The 13134-nt window shown below is 43.6% G+C and overlaps 1 protein-coding gene across 5 annotated transcripts in view, besides 1 other annotated feature; it reads left to right on the top strand.

Annotated features, from left to right (window-relative positions):
- Positions 1–13134, top strand: part of SIL1 (SIL1 nucleotide exchange factor) — a 251645-nt gene that overhangs the window by 31800 nt on the left and 206711 nt on the right. The gene's annotated exons all lie outside the window — the stretch shown is intronic.
- Positions 2242–2442: a silencer, noted in NCBI's record as "peak5496 fragment used in MPRA reporter construct". NCBI's record gives its function as "represses an SCP1 promoter by STARR-seq MPRAs in K562 erythroleukemia cells {active_cell/tissue: K562}" and the evidence as "EXISTENCE:reporter gene assay evidence [ECO:0000049][PMID:32103011]".

The following is a 13134-nucleotide window of genomic DNA, read 5'->3' as shown; positions in this document are numbered from 1 at the left end:
CCTCCTGCCTCAGCCTTCCAAGTAGCTGGGACTACAGGTACTCATCACCACGCCTATTTTTGTATTTTTTGTAAGGACAGGATCTTGCTATATTGCTCAGGCTGATCTTGAACTTGTGGCCTCAAGGGATCCTCCTGTCTTGACCTTCTAAAGCTCTGGGATTGCAGGCATGAGCCACTATGCCTGGCCCCTCTTAAAAAATAAGTAGAATGAGTACCCTCTAAAATAGCAATAAGAAGTATTTAATGGTAAATACTAGGTGATAGGAATGTTTCAGCTCCATTGTCATCTTATGAGACCACTGTCGTATAAGTGGTCTGTTGTTGACTGAAATGTGCAGCACATGACTCTGATTTATATCAGACAAATTCTGTCAGTGCAGTTGTTGTCTAGTTAGGGAGACAGATTTCTGTGCTGTTGACGAAGAGTTAGACTCTGTAAAATATTTTTTAGAGACTTATTCTGAGCCAAACCTGAGTGACCATGGCCCATGACATAGCCCTCAGGAGGTCCTGAGAACATGTGCCCAAGGTGTTCGGGGTACAGCTTGGTTTTATATATTTCAGGGAGGCACAAGACATCAATCAAATACATTTAAGAAATACAGGCCAGGCGTGGTGGCTCAGGCCTGTAATCCCAGCACTTTGGGAGGCCTAGGTGGGCGGATCTTGAGGTCAGGAGATCGAGACCATCCTGGCTAACACGGTGAAACTCCATCTCTACTAAAAAATAATAAAAAAAAATTAGCCGGGCATGGTGGGCATGTACCTGTAGCCCCAGCTACTCAGGAGTCTGAGGCAGGAGAATCACTTGAACACAGGAAGCGGAGGTTGCAGTAAACCGAGATCGTGTCACTGTATTCCAGCCTGGTGACAGGGTGAGACCCCGTCTCAAAAAATAATAATAATAAAAATAATAAAAAAGACAGACATTGGTTTGGCCTGTAATCCCAGCAATTTGGGAGGCTAAGGTGGGCGGATCACCTGAGGTCAGGAGTTCAAGACCAGCCTGGCTAACATGGTGAAACCCTGTTTCTACTAAAAATACAAAAAATTAGCCAGGTGTGGTGGCATGTGCCTGTAATCCCAGCTAGTCGGGAGGCTGAGGCATGAGAATTGCTTGAACCTGGGAGGTGGAGGTTGCAGTGAGCCGAGATCACACATTTGTGCTCCAGCTTGGGCAACAAGAATGAAACTCCATCTCAAAAAAACAAACAAACAAGAAATACATTGGTTTGGTTCAGAAAGGTGGGACAACTCAAAGTGGGGGCTTCCAGGCTATAGGTAAATTTAAACATTTTCTGGCTGACGGTTGAGTTTATCTGAAGATCTGGGATCAATAGAAAGGAAATGTTTAGGTTAACATAAAGGATTGTGGAGACCAAGTTTTATTGTGCAGAGGAAGCTCTCAGGTAGCACACTTCAGAGAGAGCAGGTTGTAAAATGTTTCTTATCGGACCTAAAAGAATGCGTGACTCTTAGTTGATTATCTCCTGGATCTGGAAAGGAAGGAAGGAAGAAAGGAAAACAAGGGGGTAGGGGATTCTCTATAGAATATGTGGATTTTTCCCACAAGGGATCACTTTGCAGGGCCATTCAAGATATGGCAGAGAAACATGTTTTGGGGTAAAATATTTTTATTTTCTTCCTTGTTATGCCAGAGTCAGATTGGAAAGTAAGTCTCAATATACATGGTTAAATAAAACCCATCTGATGAGAATTTACTGTTTGTAGGACATGACTCCCCAGACCTTTTAGATAGGAATTTGGGCCAGATAAAATCAGAGTTTAGTCCTCATTGCTTTCTACTCTACCATCTTCCCACCTCTTCCTTACTAGCTTTTGGACTTTGTTCTTATTACTTCTGTGACTTAGTTTCTTCATCTGAATAAGTGTGTACTGATACCCACCTCCTAGGGCAGTTAGGATGAAATGAAATAATGGAGGTCATGTGCTTGGCACATGGTAGGTGCTCAATGAATGGTGAAGATTGTAATGCCTTTAAAGAGCTCAAGTTTCATTAGGGACAGAACCCATGGGCCCGACCCTAGGGGCTGAGAGAGGCTGACTAACGACATGGGGACAGTGGGGTTGGGTTTGCCTTGTTAGGGAAGGTTCTTGGAGAAGGTATTTGGAGTCAGGCCTCAATCTGTGTCCCTTACTGGGGAAGGTGAGCGGCTCCTTCAAGTAGAGAGAAGGCAATGGGCAGAAGCTTTGAGTAGTAACCAGAAAGAACTGTTTTTTCTCTTCCCTCTTGTGAGGGAAGGGATGGAGTCATTAGAGAAAGTAGCTGGTGCACTGGCTCTTTTGAGTCAGAGAGACTTGGAGTCCCTTCCTGGCTTTGTGCCATGTACATGTTGCGTGGCCTTTGGCAAGTCATTTCCCCTCCTGTCTGAACTTTGGTTACTTTATCTGTAAAATGGAGATGATAATATCTTTTTTTTTTTTTTTTTGAGACATTCTCTTGTTGTTGCCCAGGCTGGAGTGCAGTGGCACGATCTTGTCTTACTGCAACCTCTGTCTCCTGGGCTCAAGCTATTCTTGTGCCTTAGCCTCCCGAGTAGCTGGGATTACAGGCTTACGCCACCATACCCAGCTAATGTTTGTATTTTTAGTAGAGACGGGGTTTCACCCTGTTGGCCAGGCTAGTCTTGAACTCTTGGCCTCAAGTGATCTGCCCGCCCAGCCTCCCAAAGTGCTGGAATTATAGGCGTGAATTATAGGAATTATAGGTGAGATGATAATATCTACTTACAGTGCTGGATGAGGATGAAATAATTGCAATTTTAAATGGCAAAAACCACAATTACTTTTGCACCAACCCAATATTTAATACATTTAGTACAGTGCCCTTCACTTAGTGCATATTTAATAACTGATAAATTAAAAAATAGTGAAGCAGCTGGGCATGTTGGCTCATGCCTGTAATCCCAGCACTTTGGGAGGCCGAGACGGGCGGATCACTTGAGCCCAGGAGTTCAACACCAGCATGACCAATATGGTGAAACCCCATCTCTACCAAAAACACAAAAAATAGCCAGGCGTGGTGGTGGGCACCTGTAATCCCAGCTACTCAGGAGGCGGAGGCAGGAGAATCGCTTGAACCTGGGAGGTGGAGGTTGCAATGAGACGAGATGGTGCCACTTGACTCCAGCCTGGGTGACAGAGCGATACCTTGTCTCCACAAAAGAAAAAACCGAAAAAAAAACAAAACAGTGAAGCATTTCTTTTGGGGAAATTAAGCTGTTTTAAATTTCTGTGGTTAGATAACTTTTCTGAAAAGTCAGTTTCCATCTTGGAATCAGTTATCAGTTTCCCTCAATTTCTTAAGGAGCACGTCACCTTGCTGCCTGACGCCCTTTGGGCTCACCATCATACTTAGAATCAACTCCAAACTCCTTAGCCTGGTTATAAGGCCTTTCATATTCCGATCCCTGCCTGCCTTCCTTGGCAGCTTTATCTCCTAACCTCCCCTACTCCCTTCTGCTTGCCTTCTGTGTTCTGGACACAGTAACTTACTTTCTGCTTCTTAAACAGAGGGCCTTTGCTCCACCTGTACCCTCTGCCTAGAATATTTTTCTCTCGTCTTCATTGGATGAGCTCTTTGTCATTCTCAGCTCAGTTCTGCTGTTATTTACAAGAAAGGCTCTTCCTTTTATCTGGTATAAAGTGACTACTTAAGTCACCATAACTTAACCACTTGATATTTTTCTTGCTTTTCTGCTTCTTGTTGACTCTGTTTTCCCTCCACTAGAACGTAAGTTTCATGAGAGTAGGGACGAGATCTGTTTGTCACATTCACAGCTGTATTCCCAGTCCTAGGAAAGGTACCTGGCATATAGTAGATGATCAAACAACATTTGTTGAATGAATGAGCTGTGAATGAGAATGTGTTCTTTTATTACGCTGAACCTGGGTACACAGGTGTTCACATTCACATTCCTACTGCTTTGTTCCTTAAATAAATGTAATCAAGATGATTTTCTTTCTTATTCATTAACTATTGTGCTCCTCCACTCCCATTAATTGGAACAGTCTGTGGAGAGGCCATTTTCCCCTTCCTTCGTTTTATGTGGCTCTCTTTCTTCCTAGCATTTTGTTACTGGAAGGGGGAGTTTGTGGTTGCTAGGCTTTGAGCATTGATTTTTAGGATTTCTGTCATAAGGAAGCAAGCTTTAGTGAATTGGTTTGGAATAAAACAAACACAAAAGCTCACCAGGAATAGCAAATTTATCTCACTCTGATTTTTTACTGACATTTTTTGTAGTACTCCCTAAGTTCTTAGATAAGGTCATTAGACAGGAATTGACAATGGCCAGATAGAAACAAATTCACAGAATGTGAGTGGGTGGCAGGGTGAGACATGGAGAGGTCAGAGGGGATAGTGCTTCTCTTTCTGGTAGTGGCCTGGTTTTTCATGGCAAATATTGGCCAGTGTAACTGTTCTCCTTTCGTAGGGCCTGTATGTTTGGGAGCTGTAGAGACTGTAGGGGGACTGCTCAGTGCTGGTGTGCCCACCTGGTAAGGCCTAGGCAATCCTAATTTTTTTTTTTTTTTGAGACAGAGTCTCTCTCTGTTGCCCAGGCTGGAGTGCAGTGGCATGATCTTGGCTCACTGCAACGACCACTTCCCAGCCTCAGATGATCCTCCCACCTCAGCCTCCCAAGTAGTGGGGACTACGGGAGCGTGCTACCATGCCCAGCTAATTTTTGTGTTTTTAGTAGAGATGGGGTTTTGCCATGTTGCCCAGTCTGGTCTCAAACTCCTGGACTCAATCTGCCCACCTCAGCCTCCCAAAGTGGTGGGATTACAGGCATGAGCCACCGCACCTGGCCAGCAATTCTAATTCTTTGCTTTTCTAGGGAAGTGCTCCAAGCTCCTGGGAGTAAGGAAGATGTGGGACTCTGGTCACTTTTGAAAACGTTTGAGTCCTAAATGTTATTGGTGCTCAAAGACCTGGTTCTTAAGATAATAAAATCCCAGGGATGGATATGAGAAAGAGAGAGTGTCTAGAACAGGGTTAGCCGACAGATGTTCATTAGCTTTCCCAAAAACAATTCTTTGTGTGTTGAGAACTGTAGCCCTGCAGATACTGGTCTCTACTCATGTCTAGGGCTCCTTTTTCCCACCTGAAGCTGGCTTCTCCTTTTCCTTTTCTCAAAGCACATGGTTACCTTTAACCTGACTTAGATGTTGTCTACTCTTCACTATACGGCTCTCAAATGAAGGATATTGGACAGCCTGCTTGTTAGCTTTCTCCTTCATTTCCCTTATTTAAAGATTTGGCCTTGTGGCTGACTGAGGGTATTTGGTTATTCTTTTTTTTGAGTCAGAGTTTCACTCTTGTTGCCCAGGCTGGAGTGCAATGGCGCGATCTCAGTTCATCGCAACCTCTGCCTCCCAGGTTCAAGCGATTCTCCTGCCTCAGCCTCCTGAGTAGCTGGAATTACAGGCATGCGCCACCATGCCCAGCTAATTTTGTGTTTTTAGTAGAGACGAGGTTTCACCATGTTGGTCAGGCTGGTCTCAAACTCCTGACCTCAGGTGATCCACCCGCCTCAGCCTCCCAAATTGCTGGGATTACAGGCATGAGCCACCGCGCCCAGCCTGTTATTCTTGTTACTATTAACTTGCTTTAGTTACTGACTATCCCCTATCCTTCTGGAATAGTCTTTATGTTTAAACTTATGTAGAAGTCCCCTTTTAGTGAAACTCTTGCTACCCCCACCCTTTTTTATTTGTGATGGAGTCTTGCTCTGTTTCCCAGGCTGGAGTGCTGTGGCATGATCTTGGCTCACCGCAACCTCCACCTCCCAGGTTCAAGCAATTCTCCTGTCTCAGCCTCCTGAGTAGCTGGGACTACAGGTGTGTGCCACCACACCCAGCTAATTTTTGCATTTTGAGACGGGTTTTCACCATGTTAGGCTGGTCTCCAACTCCTAACCTCAGGTGGTCTGCCTGCCTCGGCCTCCCAAACTGCTGGGATTATAGGCATGAGCCACGACACCTGGCCTCGCTCCCTTTTTTATGCAAGAATTTCAGCTATACACCAGCAAGACAGGGATTTGAAGGTTCTAGTAGTTACCAGAAGGTAGTTTTTTGGTAGAACAGCTTTTTGGTAGAGTGGCTCTCTCAACCAACTTTGGGCTCAAAAATCATTATTAAGGCTCTGCTCACTTCTTTTACTGCCCCTTTTCAGTGCTAAATGATGATCCTCATTCCTTTAATCTTTTTTCACTTGCTCTGTTTCCTGGCCCCTGTGTTGTTTCTGCAGTTCTTCAAAGGAGTGTTTTCTTTCGGAAGTTTTCACAGCTGTCTTCTGGCTAGGGTTGTAGGTAATATGTTAGGCTCCATCTCTTCTACTCCTCCAGGCTATAACTTTTGTGTGTGTGTGTGTGTGTGTGTGTGTGTGTGTGTGTGTGTGTGATTGTGGAAATGTGATTGGGATGGGTAAAATGCACAGTTAGGCTCTCCCACCCCACTGTGACTGTCATTTGTGAATCTGTGTCATGTAATGGTACCTCAGCCAGGGTCCCCAAACTTGAGATGCTCTTGACCTTCAGGGATGGTAATGGCCTGCACTTCTGTGATGCCTAATGAGGCTGCCTTTAAAAGGAAATTTTTTTTTAGGTTGAGGGTTTTTGTTTTGTTTAGAAAGTAAACATACTTGCATCTCTTTTTATTTTGACTTGCATTGATTTCCTCTTCTTTCTTAAATCCTGAGTAAGAACTTCAAAATCAGTTGCCAACCTTTGTGTTCACAAGAATTGAGTGGATCAGCCTCTGTATTCTTCACCTGTGCACCTGATGGACTAATATACTGCTGTGGGGGAAACAGCTTCCAAAGGTCTCTCTTCTCTTACACATGCACACACACACAAGCACAACTGTGTTATAAAGAATAGGCACTTCTCTAAGAGGAACTTGTCCTGCTTCATGCAAATACCCTCCATTGCAGCAAAATTCTGGAAACTTTGAAAGAGGTACAATTAGTGATTTTTTTTTTCCCCAAGAAGCCTCAAAGCTCTTAAAATAAATCTTAAAAAATCTGGTACTCAGAGCTTCAGCTCAGAAAGCAGACAAATTGCAAACCTGGTGCAATAAGACTCTTCTCTCCTCTGATCTTTTTCCGTTTTCTCTCAATTTATTTTAACATCCCCTTTCATGGTCTTACGTTTCAGAAACTTGATTCAGTCCTTCCTTGCCAGCTCCTGGCAGGACAAGCAGCAGGGCTTCCGGCCCTAATTTATGGTTTATATTTCTTCTCCATCCCCTCTTTGCTGCCCCAGTTCTTTACCTCCTCACATCCTGCTGGCCTTTCTTCCATCAGAAAGGACAGTGTCATGTGTGACATGTTGCTTTGGAATTGGATGGCATCAGTGTTAGCCTAGTGATTTGGGTAGAATTTGGGAAACTGTTTTGCGCATGTGCTGCTAAATGAGGAGATGGGGCCTTTTTTTTTTTCCCTCTCTCTCTTTTAGTACCATCTTTCTTTCCCCTTGTCCCCTGTAGCCTCCATTAGCCCTGTTGCCAGGGGGAATGGGAAATTCTTTACCATGATTAGTTCTAGGGTATTATCCTATAAAGTTACAAAATAGCATTTCAGAGCAAGATGTCAGAGAGTCTCCCTGCAGTTCCCATGGAACCAGTTGACCTTTCAGTTACATTTTTTCAACATCTTTAGGGGCCCATTTGAAGAGAGCTAAAGCAATAACTAGGACTAAGCAAAGAAAGCTAATTTGGAGCCAGAATATCTTAAGAAGCTTAAAAAATTAGAACCTGCGGATACATAATAAATAGGAGCTTGAGCTTTGTTCTTTTCTTTTTTTAAAAAATTATTTTACCTTTTTTTCTCATCTGCCATTAACTGAAAGGCTTTGTTCTCTTCTTACTCCTTATCTTTTTACATTACTTTTTGGTTTTCTCCCCCACACTTGGGGACTCTCCATTATTTCCCTCATGGTGCGATGAATGAGGATCTTGCTGGTGACAGCCTGCTGAGATCAGGCAGGTGGAGGGAGCAGGGGTGGGCTCCCTTCAGGTACTGCTAAATCCGAGGGGTTTGGTTCATCTGGGGAAGGGGTAAGCTTGCTGTCATTTCTAGATTCATTTGCCTCCCACAAGGATTCTTAGGGACTAACTGCATTTTCAAGATGATTCTCTCTGAGGATGCAGGAATGGAAGAAATTTTCTAGACAGAATTCTAAGAACATTTTTGTGAGTCTTTCTGAGCACTTCAGAGGCTCACCCAAAGATGTGTAATTTGTCTCTTTTAGTTCTTCTCTAGCTTACACTATTAACTTTCCCCCATTCATTTGGTGTCATTTGGAGGCAGGCAGTTTGATATTGTAGTTAAGATCTTGGGCTTTGGAGTCAGACCTGCTTTCTAATTCTGGCTCTGCCATTGATTAGCTCTCTGACTTTGGGAAGGTGGCCTAACCTCTTTGATCTCAGCTGCCTCATCAGTAATAGGGGAATAATGATGGTTCCTATGACGAAGGATTGTTGTGAACCCAGTTTTGCAACTCTCTAAATGTTAGCTATAATTGTTTTGGGATACTGACGAAAAATCAGATTGAACCTTCTTGACAAAAGAAGGTAGAGAGTTGCTAGAATAACCTTGAAGGATTGAAGGAAGACATGGGGTTGAGGGAGAGGAAAAGCATCTAGCAAAAAGAAAAGTAGAACTCTGGGTACTTTAATGAATTAACTATTATTGTACTACATTAGTAAATTCCAAGTCTTCCCCTTTGCTATTCCACCAAACTGATTTTTCTCCCAGGAACCCCAAACTGGTTCTACTGGCTCCTCTGCAAAGATTTCATAGCCACAGCAGCCACAGTGTCCTCTGTTACCAAGACATCATTATTTTTACAAAACATACTGCTGTGTTTCTCCACCTGCATTTTGAAGTGTCATAAACAGATAAAGCTGAAGCACACTTGTCAGAATAGGTTCAAAAAGTGCATTTTGGGTTGCTTTACCTTTGTCCTGACAATGTGTTTATTAGCTTGCTTGTTAATTCCAGAATTGGTTAACTTGAGGTACCTCTGGGCCAGCCTGCTCACACCAACACTCATCCTGAAAACTTCCAGAGAAGGACTCAGGTGGCTCACTCCTTCTCTTGGTGTTCCTGGGAAGTCAAAGTGGTGAATAGCAGTCCTTCTCAGGGGGCAGAGAGGAAACTGAATTACTCGTGGTCTGATACCTTCCAAACATGTCTCTGTGGGAAAGGAGAAATTGTGGGCAGGATGGAGCAGACCAACAAAGGTTAGGAGCTTCTCAGTGATTGGAAAAACAAGTACAAACAAAAAATTAGATGAAAACCTTTGTTAGACAGTTTGATTTACTTCCTCTTGTGGATGATAGATTCTGGACTATTTCTCTCCACACCTGATAATTAGAACATCAAGAAGATAATTCAGTCTCTGATAAGCTTTTGCAGTGATGTTGGTGGGAGAAAGGAGAGGCTCATGAGAAGGCTTTGCAGCAGAGGAGCTGTCAGTGCTGATTGCTTCAATTCTTGGCAGGGTCACCCATCAGATAGTGGACAAGTCTGGCTTGGGGAGGCTGTGTATAGAAAAGGAGCAAGGCACAGGGCTCAAGAGTGCTGGCCTGGAGTCATAGGACCCAGGTTAGAGTCTGGCTAGCTGGGTGTGTTAGTTTCACGTGGCTGCTGTAACAGATGAACACAAACTTGGTGGCTTAAAACAAGAGATTTATCCTTTCATGGTTTTGGAGGCCAGAAGTCTGAAATCAGTGTCACTGGGCTGAAGTTAAGGTATTGGCAGGGCTGTGCTCCCTCTATACCTTGTAGGGCAAAATCTGTTCTTCCTTGCTGCTTCTAGCTTCTGGTGGCTAACAGCATTCCTTGGCTTGTGGACACATTACTCCTGTCTTCAAGGCCAATGTCTACAAATCTCAATCACCTTCTTTTCTGTGTCTCTGTCAAATCTCCCTCAGCTTCTTGTGATTTAGGGCCTATGCTGATAATCCAGGATAATCATTTTAAGTTCCTTAATGTAAAAACATCTGCAAAGATCCTTTTTTTTTCTTATTCCCTCCCTCAGCCAGACTCAACTCCTGGGCTCAAGGGATCCTTCTGCCCCAGCCTTCCAAGTAGCTGGGATTACAGGTGTGAGTGATCACACCTGGCTTCTTTTTTTTTTAATAAGGTAACATTTATAGGTTCTAGGGATTAGGACCTGATATCTTTGGGATGTTATTTTTCTGCCTACCATACTGGGTTACCTTGGGCAAGTGACTTTCATCAGTGTGAACTTATTTTCTTATCTGTAAAATAAAAATGATTATCAAATATTCTGTACTAAATTGCCATGAGATTTAAATGAAATCTTGCCTGCTAAGCACTTGGAAATGGGCCAGGTATGTAGTTGATGCCTGGTATCCAGAAAGCATTATTATTACGTAAACATATATTTTATATTACTATTATTTAGTCATCTTCTGTGAAAGGGAGAGGATAGTTCCTTAAGAGTTTGACCTGGCAGTAGTTCAAGACCAGCCTGGCCAACATGGAGAAACCCCGTCTCTACTGAAAATACAAAAGTTAGCCGGGCATGGTGGTGTGTTCCTGTAATCCCAGCTATTTGGGAGGCTGAGGTGGGAAAATCGCTTGAACCTGGGAGGCAGAGGTTGCAGTGAGCCCAGATCACGCCACTGCACTCCAGCCTGGGCAACAGAGCAAGACTGTCTTAAAAAAAAAAAGAGTTTATTTGACCTGGGACAGTTCCCCCTCATGCCTGCCTTGGCCTCCTGTGCCCTGGGGTCCTTGGCTGTCACCTGCTATGGTCTGCAGATATCCCCAAGGCCACCCTCTTACCCAGTCTTCTGTTTTCTTTTATCAGTGCTTGGGCTGGTCTTTGGGGGAACAGGTCTCTCCCTTTAGGGGGTATTAATGACTGAATGCTTGTGTCTCCCAAAATTCATATGTTGAAGTCCTAATCCCAAGTGTGGCTGTATTTGGTGTAAAGAAGTACGTGAGGCTAAATGAAGTCATCAGGTTTGGGCCGTGATCCCACAGGATTAGTGTCTCCATAAGAAGAGATTAAAGAGAGCTCGAGAGCTCGTTCTCTCTCTCTCTCTCTCTCTCTCTCTCTCACTCTGTGTACGTGTGTGTGTATACTGAGGAAAGGCCATGTGAAGACATGGCAAGAGGGCAGCCATCTGCAAGCTAAGATGAGAGTCTTCAGCTGGAACCTTGATCTTGGACTTCTGGCCTTCAGAATTGTGAGAAAATTTTCCGTTGTTGAAGCCATCAGTCTGTGGTATTTTGTTAGAGCAGCCTGAGCAGGCTAATACAGTGGGCCTAACCCAGCTCATACCCACTTGTGCCCAGAAATCTCAGAATAAACTTGAACTCTGAAATTATTCCTAATTAGCATTCAAAATAGTTTATGTTCCTGCTTTCCTGTGGATAACTATAACTCCATAATGAAGGATAGAATAATATTATTTTTACAGCGGTATTTAGTATCTGTTAGCTATCAGCCAAAAGGTACGTATCCCCAGTGAGGTACTGTAAATACATTTTATCTGTTCTTTTACCTGCTGTTTCACAAACACATCCCTGAAGCATTTCAATCTTGTTTTTCATACTTGTCTTCAGGTGAAGAATTGTTCTGATTTGCAACTTTGGGGGATAATTACTATGTTCATTAGTTTCTGTTCTTTTCTTCCTCTCCATTTATTTCTGGTTCCTTGAGAAAAATTTCCCCTAAATCTACACTAACAGGAGACAAGTCACTTGATTAAAAAGGTGTTTTACAACACTAGTTTCTCTGGCTCACTTGGCTTGGTGATGTGAGGGCTGTGTCAGCATCTCCTTAGCTGGAGTAAAGGTCTCCCTGGTCTAGGCTTAGATGAATAAGAGGCTTTCGGGGTGGGGGTTCTGACCTCAGCTATATTGCAAAATATTTTTTACACCGGGGTATTCCTGGGCAAGGGGCAGGAGAGGCTCACCTGGTTTCCTTCTTATCAGTGATTCAATCACAGACATTAATCAAGCATGTGTTATGTACAGAGCGTGCACAGCATTGTGGAAGACATGGCTCTTGGCTCACAGGGGTGCTCAGCACATGTTGATTAAATGAGCACATGGCTGGATAGAGTGGCCTTAGCATTCAGAGAGACTGAAAGGGCAGGCCAGAGGGTCACTGCCTGGGCATTAGTGAGTAAAGGGCACTGTAATGTCCCTGGAAATGTAACAGAATTGGGAACATCTTCTGAGGGCCATGATGCCCTAGCACTTGGATCTGTAAGAGGAAGCAGTAGAGGGAGAAAACTTTGTTGATGAAGGTTTATTTTGCCTTTTTTTTTACCTGATATTTTGGCTCAGTCCCTTCTTCATTATAGACAGAGACTGTTATTTACATTTTGTGTAAATGCAGATGTCTTATAAATGCCAAGTTATCATCCAAGACAGTTGAGAGAGGAGATGGAGAAATACTAGTTTGGACAAGTTGGCTCAGGATAAGAAAAGAGGCAGGGATGTATGTGAGATGCCTGAGAAAAGAACTGAAGAAGGCGAGAAAGCAGAAGCCAGAAAGAATTTCAATTAACCTGGAACAGAATGGGAGCCCAGCTTGAAGAAGTTGGGTCTGGGCTGGACACTCGGGGAAAGAGCACTGGAAGGATTTCTGTCTGTAAGAATGAGGAAGGACAGTGTGTAGTTAGCTTGGGGTACTGTGGAAAGAGGAGCACTGGGAAAAATGGTTTAACAACACCTACATTCCGATACCTCACCGTTATGACACTTATCATACTATGTGGTGATTATTTGTTTATATGCCCCTTTTTTTCTCTTAGAAGGCAGGAGGGGGAGCATAGTCACCTTTGTATCTCAGTTACTTAACACTGTGTCCATCAGATAGCAAATGCTGCAACAGATAGCTGATGAACGTGCTTAAGGTCAAGGCCTCAGTGAGCCATCCACTAAGGACAGAAATGTGAGGGGTCTGTGGAGGCAAGTGGGTGTTGTGGTGGCAAGCGTGTAACTGGCTTAGGGGGTGAACCAGGATAGAACTGAGAAGTGAGTCTAACAGAGACTCTAAATCATCTCAGTAATTTATTAAACATCTCTTTTGTCTCAAGTCTTGAGCTAGTTAGGCAGAAT

This window comes from Homo sapiens, chromosome 5 (genome assembly GCF_000001405.40).
Source record: "Homo sapiens chromosome 5, GRCh38.p14 Primary Assembly".
NCBI classification, from domain to species: Eukaryota; Metazoa; Chordata; class Mammalia; order Primates; family Hominidae; genus Homo; species Homo sapiens.
The sequence above is the reverse complement of the archived record's forward strand: the minus strand, read 5'-3'. Positions and strand labels throughout refer to the sequence as shown.